The sequence below is a fragment of the Homo sapiens genome, chromosome 15 (assembly GCF_000001405.40).
Source record: "Homo sapiens chromosome 15, GRCh38.p14 Primary Assembly".
NCBI lineage: Eukaryota > Metazoa > Chordata > Mammalia > Primates > Hominidae > Homo > Homo sapiens.
The window spans coordinates 82,480,621-82,500,018 of record NC_000015.10 but is presented as its reverse complement, the minus strand read 5'-3'; the positions used below and the strand labels follow the sequence as shown (position 1 = coordinate 82,500,018).

The 19,398-nt window shown below is 40.3% G+C and overlaps 1 long non-coding RNA gene and 1 pseudogene across 4 annotated transcripts in view; one reads left to right on the top strand and one right to left on the bottom strand.

The window, feature by feature from the left end:
• The window catches only part of GOLGA2P10 (GOLGA2 pseudogene 10), a 42,523-nt pseudogene that overhangs the window by 13,981 nt on the left and 9,144 nt on the right, over nucleotides 1-19,398 (top strand). The gene's annotated exons all lie outside the window — the stretch shown is intronic.
• LOC105370926 (uncharacterized) lies at nucleotides 6,313-12,266 on the bottom strand. Its single transcript, XR_932534.3, has 2 exons — nucleotides 11,958-12,266; nucleotides 6,313-6,598 (listed from the first exon to the last, which is right to left on the bottom strand). It is a non-coding gene; the product is annotated as an uncharacterized LOC105370926 (long non-coding RNA).

Below are 19,398 nucleotides of genomic sequence, written 5' to 3'. Positions count from 1 at the left end.
AGGATGAAGTAGTTGGAGATCGTTTTCTTCCTTTCCAATCTGGATGCCTTTTATTTCTTTTTCTTGCCTAATCGCCCTGAGAAGCATCTCTGGTACAACATTGAATAGAAGTGGTGAGCACAAACATCCTTGTCTTGCTACTGATCTGAAAGAGAAAGCATCCAAGCTTTCCCCATTAAGTATGATGTTGTTAGGTGTGGGTTTTTCACAGGTACCTTTTGTTAGATGAGGACGTTCCCTTCTATTCCTACTTTGACCATTTTTATGATGAAAACGTGTTGGATTTTGTCAGGTGATTGAAGATGCTACACTGCTGGCTTAGAACATGGAGGAAGGAGCCCATGAGCCACAGAATGCAGCTCTAGAAGCTGGAAATAGCAAAAGAACACTTTCTCCACATAGAGACTCTAGAAGGAACACAGCCCTGCTGGCACTTTGATTTTTAAACAAGTGAAAGTCATTTTGGACTTTTGACTTCCAGAAATGATAACATGATAATAAATTTGTGTTGTCTTAAGCCACTGAGTTTGTGATAATTTGTTGTTAACAGCAATAGGAAACTAATAGAGTAGTAGTTTGGGGAAATTAGTGATAAAGGATAATTGGGAAGGAGAGGATAAATGTAGTTAGGTCAGTTTGAGTTCTCTGTGTGTTTCACTGTGTGTGTTTTGTAACATTTTAGTTTTTCCTAAAACCAAAGGATTAATTGACCTTCAAAAGGCAGCTACTTTTTGATTTCAGTCCGTAACCTTTTATCAAATCAATATTTTCCCCAAATAGGGTTGACAGGAAGCATTCTAAATTATCTCCTAATAAGTTGTTTTGACTTCAGATATTGAAATTGCAGGCCCGTCTCCCACCCATCTCTGTTTTCTCACCTTTTTTGTACGTTTTATAATAAGCCTTACATTGAAGTGTATGTGTCTGTCTGTCCCTCCCTCCTTCCCCCACCCCCTCCCTCTCCTTCCCCACTCTGTGTGTGTGTGTGTGTGTGTGTGTGTGTGTGTGTGTGTGTGTAATTACAAAGAAGTTGTAAAGGCCTTTTAAAGTAGTTATGATGTGATTTCCCCTCCTTTTAAAAAATAAAATATGTTAAGCATAAGTATTAACATCTTAGAGGGCAGGTAGGTGGAGACTTTGACTTTCTACTTTATCTTTGAATCGCTTAAATGTTTACAGTGAGCGTGTTATTTTTATGGTACATAGTAATTTTTGATGAAAACATTTTGAAGGCTGAAAAGAATGTCCTGTCTTTTGAAAATAAACCCATCTTTTTGTGCTAATTAACACTGGAGGCCAGCCAAGGCTTTATAATAAAATAATGCATTCAAAATACCTATGAAAGTGGCTAGTTGAAGAATATAATTTGCTTTGAAACGTAGCTTGAAATGGAAATACATTTCTAATAATGAAAGGTGTTGCTTTAGTAATAAATGAAAATAAAATATCCCATTATTATCCCTTCATAGAAAACAAATACAACCCTAAATGACATTTTAATTAACCAGTGATTTTCCTCTAAAGCTGAGATTTGTTTTTTTAATATGTAGGTAGGATTGGCAAATAGCGTACAGAAATCTGGACATCCTTTGAAGATAATTGTTGGGGTGGAATGGGGGCATAGAGTACTGTTTTATTGTGTTCATTTTTATTAATGAAACTGAATTTAGACCAAGCAGTGATTTCAAAGTGGAAGATGGAACAGGATGTTTAGTAGGTTTTGTAGACTGTTTTTGTAAAAGGCTTTGGTGCAGAACCTTTCATAAAATGAAATATTTTTTCAGCATGTCTGTTATTTACTTTTAGAATTCAGAGCAAGGGTTCTTGTTTGAAGAACTACAAACCTTTATTGACTCCAGATTTGACTCAGCTCTTTTATATTTTCTTTCTCACTGATAAGGGAAGGTACTTTATAAAGTAGATTTGTCATTAAAAAAGAAAAAAAGACTACATTTACCTGGTCAGAAGTTCTTTTGGGTTTAAAGAAAAAGATTGCAGCCCAGGTTGCAACAAATGGTCTGACAGTTATAATATGTTCCATCTTTCTTTTTTTTTTTTTTTTGTTTTTTGTTTTGAGACAGAGTCTCACTCTTTTGTCCAGGCTGAAGTGCAGTGGCACAATCACAGCTTAGTGCAGCCTTGACCTCCCAGGCTCAAGTGATCCTTCTACCTCAGCCTCACAAGTAGCACTCACCATCATGGTGGCTAATTTTTTTTTTTTTTTTTTTTTTTTGGAGAGACGGTGTCTCCCTGTGTTTCCCGGGCTGGTCTCGAACTCCTGGGCTAAGTGATCCTTCTGCCTCCACTTCACAAAGTGTTGGGATTACAGGTGTGAGCCACCATGCCTGGCCTCAACAAAAGTTGAACTATGTACTGTAGCCACCCTCAACAATGATAAACTTTTGGCTAATCTTATTTCATTTATACTCCACTTTGGATTATTTTGAAGCAGATTCCAGACAGATCACTTCATCTGTCAATATTTCTGTTTGTATCTCTTGAAGGTAAAGACTCTTTTAACCATGGATGAGTGTCTTGATCAAATCAACATGGCTTGTTCATGTCGATACCATTTGCTCAGAGGGGAAAGATTAAGGGAAAAATGGGGTTGGATTTGAAATGCCAGGACCTGTCTACTGGGTTTGTGATTTGTTATTCTCTAAAGTTGTAGCTCTTAAAACAAAGAAAGGAGTGAGTTTGGCCTATTCATTAACTTTTACTCTTTAGACAGTTCAAATGTTTATTGAGTTCTTCTACAGGGCGAGCCCTGCCTTCTTCATGCTTACCAAGAAGCATTTTTACGCGGTTTCTCTAATGTTTGGGTGAACGGTACCTCACTAAGTTGTTTTTCACGCACGTGCGTGCTCGTTCCTGAAGAGGCCTGTCCAGGTGCTCTGCCCGCTTTTCCTTTCAGGCTTCTGTATCAGCTGCCGTTTCCCTATAGAACGTGCCCTGACCTCCACCCCTTAACCCTAACCAATTTGCCTTTACATGTCTGACCATCCATCAAGGCTCTTTTGGGTCATATTCAGTCCATGTTGATATTTCCCCTTCCTCCCTTCTTTAGTCCTTACTATTTTTGCTTTGGTCATGTTTTCTTACACTGTATTCTGTAAGCCTGTTTAATTTTTTTATGGTGGCAGGGGAAAATATTTTATAATTATGCTTTGTGCTTTTTATCTTCCACTCAATAAATGCTTGGTAAATATTTGTTTTATTGAATGTATGAGCCTATTCTAGCTATATTGTGCTTGAACAAAAATCTTAACTGCCTTGTAAGTTAACTGCTAAGAATTTGTCAAAAGTGCAGAGATAACATCAAGAGCTTGTCATGGATAGTACAAAAAGGTCTCTAAGGGCTTGATGGAAGTCTGTAAATTGACTTCCTATGAAAGAGAGTGTAAGAAGTGAAAAAAAGCAAAACAGAGTAGATGTTTTACTCTGTTTGCCAAGGGATTTGTGCTATTTTTTTCCTGTTTTATAAATTTGTCCTAATCTTAAATAATGAAGGGAAAAGAGCACTCTTTTTCAACCAAGGAATCCTTTTTATACTTCTTTTCTGTGAAGCCATGTTATGAAAGATTGTTATACAAACTTAAGTATAGTTTTTCCATCTTCAGTAACAGACCTGATTGCCATCTAGTTACTGGTTCTGATCACACAAGAATGCAAAGCAGCTTGTTCTAATAACTTGTGCAGGCCTATTGGGAACTAGTATATGGCTTTGAGTCCTTTTGAAGTATTTAACATAATTTGGCAATTCCATTACGCCTTTTATGGACTTCTTGGCATCTATGAACTCTTGGTAGGGAATCACTGTTTTAGAATGAAAAATGTCTCCCAGGAAGTAAATTAGCCGGTAAACAAATGAAACTTCATTTTTTATATGACTTGTAGAGCATAAATTATTACTCTTTCTGCATAAGTGGCTGCTTTCTAGGCTGCTTTTAGCGAGATTGTTAGAAACAAATGATCGGTGCTGTGAGGAAGAAGCAGCACTCAGGCAAAAAAGTTTTCTCAGCAAGACAATTTGCTTCTGCAAGTATGCTGCTTGCATTAGTCATGATTGCAAGAGCACACCAAACGGGGTGGAGCAGGGGTTCTTATCCCTAATGCACTCCCTACCTCTGTGTCATTCCAACATGGGCTGGGGTAGGACTGCACAATCTTAGCTGACTCAGCTGGATATTGTGAATATTTTCTCTAATAAGAAAGGGAGGGGGAATGTGAGTTACAGATTGGGGCTGGTAGGAAGAGTTGTTTACAAGGCAGGTTACTAAGCAGGTAACTAAGCTGGTAAGTAGGGTCGAGAAGGTACAGGGAAATTGTTCTTAGGAACAGAGAACAAGGAAGTTGAACAAGTTAAACCTTTGAAGAGGAACTTACTGTACCTAACAATTCCCCCCTCTTAATTTTTGTAATTCTTCCTCTTCAAACTTTTTTAGCATGTCTTTGCTTTGCTGTTCTGCTTGGTTTTCTAGAAGGAAAAGCTTATCTGAATAGGGTGGAGGAGAGCTAAGAGAGGTTTTGGTAAGTTCTGTGTCTATGAGTCTTTGCAGTAGTCCACAAATGTATGGTATGATACAGCATCCAACAAGAATAAGCACACCTATAACGATTGCAAGAGAAGTAAATATTGAGGACATTAAGCCTTTCCATTTTCCAGACCATTTCTCCATTAAACTTGTAAAGGGATCATTTATTCCAGAATTGCTTGCTAACTCATTGGATAAGGAGGTTAGGTCCTGCAAAGCTTTTGTTACTGTTCCGTCAGGGGCTGTGTTATTAGGAATAAAAGTACATCATTGGACTCCAATCATGACACAGACACCACCTTTTTCTGCTAGCATCGTATCTAGGGCTATCCTGTTTTCCCAGACTATTTAGTTAATGGGACCTAATTGGGAGGCTGTTCCCTTAATGGCATGTCTTGTGTAGTTAACAAACCTTTGTTGGTTGTAATAAATGTAGTTTATCCGATCTACATTTTTATTTACAGTTGACCACCAAAACAGCACAGATTCAAATCCTGAAGCTGTTTGATTTCGGGCCTTAAATTTATCTGGTACCCCTCGTGGAACTCCAGTAGCATCTTTATAAACGTGGGAGTCAAAGGACCCATGAAGGTCACTTCTTCTCTTCTGATTTTCTCTTCTATTATGTTAATGGAATGCTAGGGTGAAAGGGATGGCCAGTTGGACTAGAGCACAAGTACCACTCCAGTTGCTTGGCAGAGTGTCCAGTAAGGGTCCACCACAATACCACCATACGTATGCTCGAGGATGAACAAGGGCAGACTGACTGGTAAGCTCTTGGGAGAGTTTAAGTTCACCGCATCCCTTTAGGTCTTCATGAAATGCCAAGTTTTCCCCTTGTTGTGAGAGACCCGAGGTAAAAATTGGTGTCAATAGATGGAGGCTGGATGGCCCTCAGGGACTGACCTGCAGGGTGTTGGACTTTAGGGAATAGCAGAGAGAGAGCTTGGCAAGATTCATTACCCCAGGCTGTGGGGTCTTGGAGAAGAGCTACCATACAGCTCATGCCCAGTTGGCTGGAAGACCATCCGAGTGGAAAGGGGACAACCTGGGCCTCTGGCCTACTGTGCGCACAAGTGTAACAGTTGCTTTTGTTTAGAGTGCGGACAGAATATTTAATCCATTCTAACCAAGCATTTGCATCTTGGTACCCTGTCTCAGTTGCTATGGTTTGTTTCAAATTTTTAACTTCTACAATGGCTTACCTTGATTTTATCCTTGGTTGAAGGAAGAACAGCGGTTTCGTTGAGAGAGAGTGTAGAAGGAGGTGGAGGAGGTGAGAAAGTAATGAAATGCATTTCAAAGGATTCTATAAGATGTGTCCCTGCTATTTTGGCTCCTATGCCGTATAAGCGACTTAAAGTAGGTTTAGGGTTGGCAGAAGTGGGGATAAGAATAGAAATTTGCACTGGATTACATTGGTTATACTGGCAGTCAGGGGGTGGGGAATGTTTCCTTTAACAAAGCAAACATGGTTTTAGAGACTTACAACTGCCTGTTGACAAAGCCCTGATGTTCAGTTGTCCACATAATATCATTCCAGCTGTGGCAGGCCTGTTTCCCTACATTTCTTAAGGAACAAGAGTCGTAATGGGGGAGGCTTTTGTCTGAAAGGGACGGAGATACTTCTCTGAGGCTGAGAGTTGCTTTTGACTTTGGAGATCTCCACAGGATATAACAAGGCAAGCATCAAAGGTAATAGTTTGGGGTGAGCTCGACCTAGTTACATTAATAACGAGAGGACTAGCAATAGAAGGGGAAAAGAAATATAGCATAAGAGGATCAAACCCGTTTTAGCTTTAACTTGGTTGGAATTGGCCCTGAAATAGCTGTCCATGATTCTGGAGTGGGTGGTGCTCTTTTGACTCAGGTATGGTGAGTCCATTCTTTTTCAGTGGTGTGGACGGCTGTCTCAGTCATTAGAAACACTAGATAATGTCCCTCCCAGGTGGGCTTGAGCTTCCTTTCTTTCTGACCTTTGATGAGAATGTGGTCACTGTCCGGGCTGGTGGTGGTGAACTGGAAATTCAAGGGGTGGTGTATGTGCCAAGAGGCCTTTAGTCCTAAGGAAAGAGAAAGTGGAGGATAGACCAAGTATATAGTTCTTGAGAAACAGATCTTTTGTTTCGAACGAGGAATGTCAGCAGTGGAGTGTAGATAAGGCAACTCATACAGCATTTCATAAGGAGGTGAGCCGACATCTTTCCTAGGGGCAGTTTGGAATCTTCACAAGACCATGGGGAGGCATTTAGTCCATGGCAACCGAGTCTCTAGGACTAATTTGGTTAGGTGGTTTTTCAGAGTCTGATTCATTCTTTCTACTCTTCCTGATGAAGGTGGGTGCCAGGGGTTATGGTAGTCCCATGTTATATCTAGTACTTGGGCTAGTTTCTTAAGAACATGTGCAGTGAAATGAGTCCTATTGTCTGAATCAGCATTTTCTATTAATCCAAACCTGGGTATAATATTTTCAACTAATGCCTTGAGTACATTACTAGCAGTTGCACTTGAAAAGGGAATAGCTTCTACCCAATGAGTAAGGTGATCTATCACTAATAAATATTTTAAGTGACCAATTGGGGGCATTTCGGCATAATCAATTTGGACACTTTGGAACAGCCTTAATCCTGGATTTCTCCCTCCAACAGGTGGTTTTCTGAGGATCTGCTTATTAGTCTTCTTACATACTAGGCAACTATCTGTAACTTGTCTTGCCAAAATATAAATTCCTATACATCTGTAGACCCCGAGGACTGCATCACACTTAGCTTGAGGTCCCTAATGAGTCCCTTGATGCAGATGGGAGAGAATTTCCCTCATGAGGGGTTTGGATAACATTTCTCTTTGGTCTGGTGACACCCATTTCCCTTCTGAATTTTCTTTGGCTCCTATTTTTATTAATTTTTCCTTTTCAGCGGGAGAAAAGATGGGGACTGCAGTCGAGGGAGGAAGGCAAGGGGCTAAGTGAAAAACAGACATTTTCAGAGGAAACGGCAGTGTGTTTGGCTATTTGATCTGCTAGGTTATTCCTTCCGCTTTGAAAAGAAAGACTTTTCTGATGTCCTGGAACATGGACAATAGCTATTCTGGCAGCTGCAGGTTATCTAATACTTGGGTGATTAATTCTTTGTGGCCCAGGTCTTGGCCTTTGCTATTAATAAGATCTCGTTCAGTCCAAATTTTTCCAAAGGTGTGAGCTACCCCAAAGGCATACTTGGAATCAGTATAAATAGTCCGTTCTTGGTTTTGCAAGTGCTTTAAGGCTTGATTTAATGCAAACAATTCATTCACATGTTTGGGCAGACCAATTATTTGGCAGGCTTCCTGACTCTACTTCTTCAAGTGCCTCCCCATCTACTACTGAGTACCTATTATGCCTTTTTCCTTCAATTACTTGGGAAGAGCCATCTATAAAGAAGCCCTGCCCCGTTTTGTAAGGGGTCTCTCTTAAATCAGGCCTAACTTTTGTATGATCATTAAATCTAAACACTCATGCTCAGGTCTCTTTAGATTTGGATCTCCAGTCAGGAAACCTCTGGGTTAAGTGAATTATCAGTGGTTAGTGTTAAATCATCTCTTTCTAACAGGATAGCTTCATACTTTAAAATTCTCAAGTCAGTAAGCCACCTTCCTGCCTTTTAATTTAAGATGGCTCTAACCTGATGGGGCATGTTTACAACTAACTTTCCCCCAAAGGTTAGTTTTCTGCTTTCTTTAGTTAACAAGGCGGTAGCTGCAATGGATTGAAACATTCAGGCCATCCACAGGTTACTGGATCTAAAACTTTTGATAGGAGATCCATGGGTTGCTGGTGACCTCCGTGTTCTTGGGTAAGGACCCCTAAAGCTACCCCCTTATTTATGTTAACAGAAAGGTGAAATGGCTTTTCTAGGGAAGGCAAAGCTAAAACAGAGGCAGTTATAAGCAGATGTTTTAGCTCCTCAACCTGGTGGAGTTCTTCAGAAGTCCAGAGGAGAGGGTCAGGCTTTTCTTGGGTGATTTTTAGGTAGAGAGGCTTTATGACAAGGGCATATGAGTCAATCCATAAGCGGCAATATCCAGCTATCCCTAGGAATTTTCTGAGTTCTTGTTTAGTCTTAAGCAAAGGTATGGATACAATCCTTTCAACCCTCTCAGGCCCTATCCTTCGTTTGCCGTTACTTATTAAGTGTCCTAGGTATTTAACTTCAGGCTCTATGAATTGAAGCTTTCTCTTTGAAACCCATAGCCCCTCTCCTTACAAATGGTTAAGGATATGGACGGAGAAAGCAGATACCTTTTCTATAGCCTAACCGGATATTAATAAGTCATCTACGTACTGGAGCAGACATATACATTTTGGGGTATAAACTTGTTCTAACACTTGTTCTAGAATTTGACCAAAGAGATTAGGGGAATCTGTGAAGCCCTGGGGTAGAACTGTCTATCGATACTGTTGCTGTCATCCAGAATGGGGATCTTCCCATTCGAAAGCAAAAATGTCTCAGCTGTCCTCATCCAAGGAGCATGCTCAAAAGGCATCTTTTAAACCTATTACTGTAAACCATTGATGTTCATATGGAATTTTACTGAGAATGGTTTAAGGATTAGGGACAACAGGATGGGTAGTCTAGACTGTCTGGTTGATGGCCCAGAGGTCTTATGCTAGTCGACATGACCTATCTGGTTTCTTCACAGGCAGTATTGGGGTGTTATAAGGGGACATACAGGGTTCAAGGAGCCCATCCTTGATGAGGCTTTCAATTACAGGTTTCAGGCCTATTCTGCCTTCTAAAGGAATAGGATATTGCTTTCTTCTTACTATTTCTCCAGGGGTTTTTAACTTTATATGTATAGGGGGAATTTGGAGTTTTCCCCAATTTCCTTCCCTTGCCCAAACATCAGGATGAATGTATGTTTCTTCTGCAGTGGTGAGCAGGTTTAATGAAGTGTAGAATCCTTCTGAGCCAATACGTAAACCTATACCTAATTTTAACATTAAGTTTCTTCCTAATAGATTAGTTCCTGCCTCTGAAATTAACAAAAATTCAACATTAGCTGAGCAGTTTTTACATCTAATTTCTGTTTCTTTTAAAATTTTTAGTTTGATTCCCTCTCCTTTTACCCCTGAGACTACAAGCTCCTCTGAGGACCAGGTTATATTGTGGGGGAAGGTAACAAACAGAGGAGCAGGCTGCTCCTGAGTCTACTAAAAAGGTCATAAGCTCGGATTTGGGTTCCACTTCTAAATTTATCAAGGGCTCTTGGTGGGATTCAAGGTAAAAGAGACAGAGCCCCTAACCCCCCTATTCCTCCTCAAAGGTCGTAAGTGGGACGACTTCTCTTTCTGATTTTAATTTGGGACAATACCTCTTGAAGTGGCCTACTTTCTCACAATTGAAGCATTGATTCTGTCTCTTCTCTCTATTTTTGGGTTTCTCGGCTTTGTCTCCTTATGTTCTTTATATGGCTTAGGAAGTGGGGGCCTAGGATCTTTATAGGTTTTGGCTCTCGGGAGGCTTTGTTTGGGAGTGTGTGGGTCTCTGGGTAACAGAGAGTAATACTGGTGTGTTTTATCCTTTGGGGCCCCCTGTTGGAAGGTGGATAACATAATTTTCATTTTTTCTTTTTGCTTCTCCTCATCCCTCCTTACACACACTTTCTGAGCTTCTCTAAGAAGCTCGTTCGTGGGATGGTCCTTCCAATTTCCTATCTTTTGTAATTTCCTTGTGATATCTGGCTGTTAGTAACAAAATGAAGCTTTAACATTCACTGCCTAAGAGGATCTTCTAAATCTAGGCCAGCATATTTTCTCATTTGTTCTTTCAACCTGTCTAAAAGTTCGATAGGCCCTTCATCTTTCCTTTGTTGTATGTCGAATGCTCGAGTAAGATTTTGGGTTCGGAGTACTGACTCCCGAATCCCTTTTATTATCATTTCCCTAAGTTCTTGCGTATCCTCTTCAGTGGGCTGCGTTATTATTGTCCCAGCAGGGGTCTTGGTTGGGGAATTTTTGATCCGCTGCATGAATGTTTTGGCCAGGAGGGTGTTCATGTTCCCAGGGTACCATAGCAGCTCTACAGATGATGCTTCTTTCTTCCCCTGAGAAAAGGATGCCTAGGATGGACATTAACTCAGCCCAAGTATATATAACTGTGGTCCTAGAAATTGGTTAATTCGATCTGCTATTCCACTGGAGTTGTCTAATAGTGTGGCTTGAACTCTGTTTTTAGGTTTTGGACCTCCGAGCTGGTTAAAGGAGCATTTACAAAGTGAATACCTCCTCCTCGTAGGGACACCTCTCTTCAGGGGAAGAGAGGTGGAGCTAATTCTCCCGAGGTAGAGGGGAAGGGGAAGTTCTGAATATCCCTTTTACATTGCTCTATCTCACACTGAAGTCCTTTCAGGGAAGAGTACTTAGGGTGATAGTGAGCAGGCTGTTGGGACAATTCCCAAGAGGCAGGGTTATAAAGAGGGGGAACAATGTGGGTAGGAGAAGGGTCTGGGACAACTGCTTCTGCTTGAGGGAGAAGGAGGTTAGGGATATTGGACGGGGGAAGGTGGTGGAGGAAGTTCCATGTGTTGGTGAGCTGTCTAGGAACAGGGACCTTATCTTTCTCAGAGGAGTTAATTTCTGACTTGCTTTTCAGGATTGATTCCTGAGTCCAAATGAAACAACAATATTTTATCATTTGCTGCTTTTTCTTGTATTTAGTCCTTTCACTCTCTTTTCAATATTTTAGCATAAGCCCTAGGGGACTATCAGGAGGAATGTTATTGTTGCTAGCTTTATCCTTTTTCTCCCCTGCATTACTTGAGGTATTTCCCATCTTGAAAAGGGATTGGGGTGAGGCTCAATTTCCCCTACTAGAAATTTCTTCCCAGTTACGAGAGGTTTGTATAAGGCTCAACCTCTCCTACTGGAGATTTCTCACCTTTCCTTTCCTTCCCTTCCCTTCCCTTCCCTTCCCTTCCCTTTCCTTTCCCTTCTCTTTCCCTTCCCTTTCCCTTCCCTTTCCCTTTCCTTTCCTTTCCCTTTCCTTTCCTTTCCCTTTCCTTTCCTTTCCTTTCCCTTTCCTTTCCTTTCCCTTTCCCTTTCCCTTTCCTTTCCCTTTCCTTTCCGAGGCTCAACCCCCCTGCTGGAGGTTTCTTGCACTTTTCTCCTTTCGCTTCATCCTTCTCTGGCTGCTTCCCTCATGGGAACGTTGGTTTCCTCTTAGCAATGGCTGTTTCAGTAGAAACCCCTGACCCAGACTCCTTTACAGAAGGGCTACCTTAAGCTGTATAAGGTGACCACAGAACTGCAGATCTGGACTGAACACTTGCTTTGCACTCAATTGTGAGTCTCAACACACACTTTCAATCTCCAAGATATCCCAACCACCAAGAAAATACTTTGTCGCTCTTGTGATGTTTCTTACGTTGGTCTGTGCACATAGTTACCTGGTCACCATGGTATGTGAGGATCCTTTTCTCTTAAGTTGTTGGTCTGTTCCTTTCCAGACTGCTGAGAGTCCGGGTTTATTCATCACACTGGGTGGGTCCTGATCCCTCACCATGAGGCCACCTCAGTGAGGCAGTGGGATGCTTCTCCTCACTATTGGTGACTGGAGACCCTTTTCTCAGAGGAGAATGGGAATTCCAGACGAGCCCCCAGATTGTTAGAAACAAATGATCAGGCTGGGCACAGTGGCTCGCCCCTGTAATCCCAGCACTTTGGGAGGCCGAGGTGGGCGGATCATGAAGTCAGGAGATCGAGACCATCCTGGCTAACATGGTGAAATGCCGTCTCTACTAAAAAAAAAAAAAAACACAAAAAAATTAGCTGGGCGCAATGGTGGGTGCCTGTAGTCCCAGCTACTCAGGAGGCTGAGGCAGGAGAATGGCGTGAACCTGGGAGGTGGAGCTTGCAGTGAGCTGAGATCAAGCCACTGTGCTCCACCCTGGGCAACAGAGCGAAACTCTGTCTCAAAAAAAAAAAAAAAAAAAAAAAAGAAAGAAAAAAGAAACAAATGATCAGTGCTGCAAGGAAGAACCAGCACTCAGGAAAAAAAGTTTTCTCAGCAAGACAACTTACTTCTGCAAAAGACTGCTGTTTGCATTAGTCACGAATGCAAGAGCACACCGAGCAGGATAGAGCAGGAGTTTATATCCCTAACGCAGTCCCTACCTCTCTATCATTTCCACATGGGCTGGAGTCGGACTACACAATCTAAGCAGACTTGATTTGCTATCGCGAATATTCTCCCTAATAAGGAAGGGAGAGGGAATGTGAGTTACAGGTTGGGACTGACGGGAAGAGTTGTTTACAAGGCAGGTAACTGAGCAGATAACTAAGCAGGTAAATAGGGGTGAGAAGGTACAGGGAAATTGTTCTTAGGAACAAAGAACAAGGAAGTTGAACAGGTTAAACCTTTGAAGAGGAACTTACTGTACCTAATAAGTTTTTTTGATTGGCTAATTAAATGTCTATTCATTATTGCCAAAAAGTGCCTACCCCAACAACAAGATACCACATTTTAGAAAATGTTGGAGCTCTCTCTGAATCTAGGAGGAAGTGAGTAGTTTAGCTTTTATTTAGTAGTTAGGACCTTAAGTAAATCACTTTTTTTACTGTGTTTCTGTATAACATAGATAATATTTTTTGCCCTGCAAGAGAGCATATAGAGGAAAGCTCTTTGGCAGCGATACTGTGCCCTATGAATAAAAAAGTGATGGTGTCATTTGTGGCTGAATAACAGTTTATTTTGAGAATGCTTTATAACAGCTTTTCATGGGAAATAAAGCAATGCTGTTAACTTCATCTTGCATTTTTCTCATTTTTACTATGATTAAAAAGTAGTCAGCTTGTACAAAGGAAAGAAACAAGCCTTGACTCAGGAGCCTAGGACTTTTTCTTTGGTTTGCCCTCCTGGAACAGATTACCTTTCCAAATTGAATTTGTGGAGGAGCATTGGGAAATATCAGAAATGTCATATTAAGCACCTCAGTGGTACTTTTAATAGAGGAGTTATTCAGAAATTATACTAGGCAGATAGAGAGGGTAAGGAGGCCTCAGTAAGGCTTTCCCTTTTAATAGAAACAACTCCAGAAACATTTCTTTTTCTTTTCTTTTTATCTTTTTTTTGGAGACGGAATCTCGCTCTGTCACCCAGGCTGGAGTGCAGTGGTGTGATCTCAGCTCACTGCAGCCTCTGCCTCCCAGGTTCAAGTGAATCTCCTGCCTCAGCCTCCTGAGTAGCTGGGACTACAGGCTGCCAAGCTTTGATATGCAAATGCCAGCGCTTAGAAACTGTGTCCATTCAACATGGAGATTCCCACCCTCTTCTTCTAGTCACCACCTCAAGGTGACACCTCCAGATGACCCCATGTGTGCAGGACAACATGGTGACCTACATTTGCATATTAAAAGGCTAGGGTGGGAGGGCCACGTTTTTCTCGGGCTACATGAATGACCTGCCTGGTCAAACCAATGCCCTGGGCCCTGTGCAAATCAGACACCACCTCCTCCAGCCTCCCAATATAACCGAGTACTGTTCTGCCACACACGGGGCTTTTTCTCTGTTCAGACCCCCCTTTTTCTGTACCGCAGGGAGCCTTTCTTCTTTCTTGCCTATTAAACTTTCTGTTCCTTAAAACCACTCCTGTGTGTCCATGTCGTTTAACTGGCGTGAGACAAAGGACCCCGATGTTTCTCCCATTTTCAGAGCCATATCACTTTGAGTCCAGAGGAATTATTTTCATTTATCTGACCAATTTATAATATAGGGTCAAATTCCTAGTGGTTATCCTCCCTCATCCCCATTTTTATACCCTTCCTTGAAAGGAACAGGTATATGAAGAGGAGACAGGTTTCCCTTTTGTGAATAGTATATCCCTTAGTATCTTGATTTTTTTTTGGTGGGGGTGGGGGGAGTTAAACTTACTTAGACCTGGTAAAGGGCAGTATTTGATAAATGTCAGCTAGTTTAGGGTTAGGGAATTGAGTTGAATGGAGATAGTCACTGCCAAATGTAAAGCATGACTGGAGAGCCACAGTGATGAAGCCAGGGTCCCTTTCTCCAGATCCTTTGTAACAGTGTTATGTGATCTCTTCTAGAAGATTGTTCTGAAAGATAATGCCAACTCGGAACCTAGGAAACCATCCAGTGGGTTTCTGCAGCTTAGGTGGTTCAAATCCTCATCAGCACGTTTGTTTTCTCTGCCTCAGTTTGCTTACAGTGATGTTCTCAGTAGCTGTAATTGCTGTCTTTGAATACTTAAGCATTTTTTTTTTTAGCTCACAGGGGTATGTGTGCATTTTTCTTTTACCAAGTGTTAGAACTTTGACTCTGCTTTTGTGGGCTCTGGTTTAGCAACTTGGTTGTTTAGTTGTAAAATGATTAGTAGGGAAAACCGTGTGTGTGTGTGTGTGTGTGTGTGTGTGTGTGTGTATTTTAAGTTTCTTTTGTTCTCAGAGCACTTAGAATTTTATATGGAAATTCTATCAGTTTACTTGATTCTCCACCCCACATTTCTTAAACAGCAAAGTATGAAGGTAATGTGTCCCGTAACCAGCCTTCAGAATAATTACAGCTGCTGTGTCTCTGAACTTTCAAGAAGTTTGTGCATCAATTTTCAAAAAATTATGAAATCCTTGAAGATAGCTGTGTTCTACATTTGGAAAGATACAAAAACTGAACCTTCTAGCAGGCAGTTTTGCTTGCTGGTGCTTGCGATAGAGCCACACATTGGTCTCAGTGGATTTATGGAGAAAAATAGGTACGGAAAGTTATTTCTAAATAAGACCAAAAATCCTTTTCTTAAGCAGTGACAGGTAAAGAGGTTGTCTTGGCTAATATTGAATTGTGTTGCCCTTGATTGAGACAGTTTTATGGTGGGGATGGTAGTGGTGATAAACTTGTTTGAAATTTGTCCACCTATAGTAACCTTTGTGGTAGCTGTCACAGACAGCTTCATCCTCACAGGCCCTAAAATTACTATAAAACTAATAGATTGGAGGAGAAACAAAGGACCTGAATAATTAGATGCTTAGATAATTGTTCTGTGTTTTCATAACAAGTGAAAAAGAGCAGTGTTAGAAGTACTTAAACTTTCCATGTAAGGAGCACTGCCTGAATTTATATTGTGATTTTAGAGCATCATTCACTGTTTAAAAACAGGCATATTGTGGGTCATATTTTAAAGACAAACAGAAAGCTTATCTTTTCAAGATGGATCTAAAGCTTAACCTTATCAAAATTACAAAATGTGAAGGATATGATTGAAAAATATTAATGCATAGGTTTAAATATTGGTCATCATTTTAGATGTCTTTCAAAATAGGTTGTCTCTTAAATATTAAACTGAACAAACATTGAACTTGTTGTAGAGTTTGTGCTCAAGGTTAAGTTTCCTGGGGTGATGGATATTTGATAATATGGATAACAAAAAGTTCTTAAGAAATTTAGAAAATTTTTAGGCAAAACTAGAAAATAATACTGATAATTCTACCACTCAGAATGTACCACTATCAGAATTTTGTATCTTTCAGTCATCTGCTCATCTCTTTTCTCCTTTGCTTGTATGTGTTCCCTCTCCCTTAAAAAATCAGATTTTTTTTTTGTAATCTGCATTTTCACTCAATATTGTAGATCTGTGTCATAAGTTACTCCTCTACAGTGCCTTCAGTTATTGTGTGCTTTGTGTTGGATGACTGTACCATCTAGTCTTTCGTGTTTCCTGGTACTGACTACATAGGGGTGAGTGTGTGTGTGTGTGTGTGTGTGTGTGTGTGTGTGTGTATTTTTTTTCTACCTTAACTAATGCTTTGGACATCATCAACAGGTAGAGCTAAATCCTTGAAACCTTCCAAGTGGTGGCTTTCAGTTATTGCTGAATTGGTTTTTAGAGATGGAACAAATTATATTGTATGGAAACTTTTTTTTTTTTTTTTTTTTTGAGACAAAGTCTCAGCTTGTCACCCAGGCTGGAGGGCAATGGCATGATCTTGGCTCACTAAAACCTCCACCTCCCAGGTTCAAGTGATCCTCTTGCCTCAGCCTCCCGAGTAGTTGGGATTACAGGGGCCTGCCACCATGCCCGGCTAATGTTTGTGTTTTTACTAGAGATGGGGTTTCATCATGTTGGCCAGGCTTGTCTCGAACTCCTGACCTCAGGTGATCCACTCACCTTGGTCTCCCAAAGTACTGGGATTACAGGCATGAGCCACCATACCCAGCCTTTTTTTCTTCTAGGTACCAGCTTTTATTTATCAGATTGGTATAAATGTTAGAAAGCGTGCAATGAAATGGGCATTTTCACAGTCGTGGCAGAAAGTATAATTATCTTTGACTTTCTAGAAAGCAGTCTGGCATTCTAGAAACTTGCCTAACCTCTTCCCATTTAGACAAGATGAATTCTGACAGGGCCAGCCTTGTCCCTGTGATTCCGTATCTCCCAGAAAGAGAGGTCTAGTCTCAGGGAAAACCCAGATTTTCTTGGCTTAGCCCACCTGACAGCTAATCACTGGAAATGGGGCGGGCCGGTAGAGTCCTTTGGTCAGGTTTTGTGTCAAGAGAGGGATGTGGAAAGATGGGAGAGAGGTAGCAAAACTGGCCTCAATGGAACTATGTAAGTTAACATAGAATGGCAAAGGAATGTTTCTTCCAAGGAAGAAATTCTAGGGAAGGAATAAAGTAGAGGGGAAGGCAGCAGTTCTCAAAGTTTTGGGGTCAGGATTCCTTTACACTCTTAAAAGTATATTGAGGGCCCAAGGAGCTTTTGTGTATGTGGGTTATATCTATTGGTATTTATCACTAGAAATTAAATCAGAAATACTTAAAATATTCCTTAAAAGCTCACAAAATATTGTTATAAATGCTTTTATGATAAGAAAATTTCTAAACCCAAGGTAGTACAGTCTTACATCTTTTGCAAATTTCTTTGATGTTTGATATGTCATTTGTACCTGCATTCAATTTATTGTGTGATATTTGCTTGAAAAAATGTGAACAAAGGACAGTCTCATACAGATAGGCATTTCAGATCATTGTGGATATTTCTTTTTTCTTTCTTTCTTTTTTTTTTTTTTTTGAGATGGGGTCTTTCTCTGTCTCCCAGGCTGGAATGCAGTGCTATGATCACGGCTCACTGGAGCCTCATTCTCTGGGGACTCAGGTGATCCTCCCACCTCAGCCTCTAGAGTAGCTGGGACTACAGGTGTGTACTACCCCACCTTGCTAATTTTTTGTATTTTTTGTAGAGATAGGGTTTTGCCATAGGTATTCAAATAGAAAGTTTTGTTTTTGTTTTAGTATATAAAGAAATATAACTTTCCATGTTGGAAAAATTTTTAAAACCTTTTTTTAATTTTAAAACTCATAAGCAACCATTGTTGAGAAAATTGGTAAAGTACAGAAAAGATAAAAGAAAAAAATTAAAGTCTCCCATAATTTCTCTATCTAATATAACCACTATTGACTGTTGACATGATGGTCATTTTCTACCAGTATATATTTTTTCTTTGCTATTAAAATACATAACCCTTACACATATGCTTAATAGTTGAGGTCATATTCTCTATAGTTTTTTATATATATATATATATATATTTTTTTTTTTTTTTTTTTTTTTTTTTTTGAGACAGAGTCTTGCTCTGTCACCCAGGCTGGAGTGCAGTGCCGTGGTCTCGGCTCACTGCAAGCTCCACCTCCTGGGTTCCCACCATTCTCCTGCCTCAGCCTCCCCAGTAGCTGGGACTACAGGCGCCCGCCACCATTCCCGGCTAATTTTTTGTATTTTTTAGTAGAGATGGGGTTCCACCGTGTTAGCCAGGATGGTCTCGATCTCCTGACCTCATGGTCTGCCCACCTTGGCCTCCCAAAGTGCTGGGATTACAGGCGTGAGCCACTGTGCCTGGCCCTTTTATATTCTTTTAAAAAGTATTTACTGTATTTTCCTGTGATGTCATAGTCTTTATAGAAAAATAATCATTATTTTCAGTTGACATGATTGTTTACCTAAAAATATCCAAAGGAACCAACTGAGAAAAAACAATTTTTAAGATTACTGGTTAAAAGTTCTTTTATATAAAAATCAATAGCCTTCCCCAATGTTAGCTATAATCACATAGAAGATATAGTGATGAAGTATTTTTTCAGGTATTTCAGCAAAAATTAAATACCTAGGAATAAACTTAGATGTGCAGGACTTTTATCAAGGACAGGACAAAATTTTGCTGAGTGGAATGAAAGATTTGCATTCTATGTTCCTGGATGAGCAGATTTCATGTTATAAATATGTTAGTTATCACCATGTCTTCATATTAATTTGTAAATGTAATTTCTGCTGGGCACAGTGGCTCATACCTGTAATCCAAACAGTTTGGGAAGCTGAGGCGGGTAGATGACAATTAGCTGGGTGTCTGTGGCACACACTTGTATTTCCAACTACTTCTGAGGCTGAGGTGGGAGGAGCACTTGAGCCTGGGAGGCAGAGGTTGCAGTGAGCCGAGATCATGCCTCTGAACTCCAGCCTAGGTGACAGAGTGAGACCCTGTCTCAAAAAAAAAAAAAAAAAAAAAAAAAAAACTAGAAAAGTGTGTGTGTATATATATATATTTCATATTTTATAAATATTTATATATATAAATTGTATATATACATTTTATATTTTATATATAGTGTGTGTGTATTATATATATACACACACACACACAAATTTCAGTACAAATTCTGGCAGATTTATTTTTGACACTTGACAAAACGACTCTAAAATTTGTTTAGAAGAATAAGTAATAAAAATTAATAAAGTATAGACTCTTTCAACCAGATAGTAAATAAAATATTGTGGACTATCCCTGGGCCAGACAGATAAAGGCAATGGAAGTTTAGAACCAGAGTCA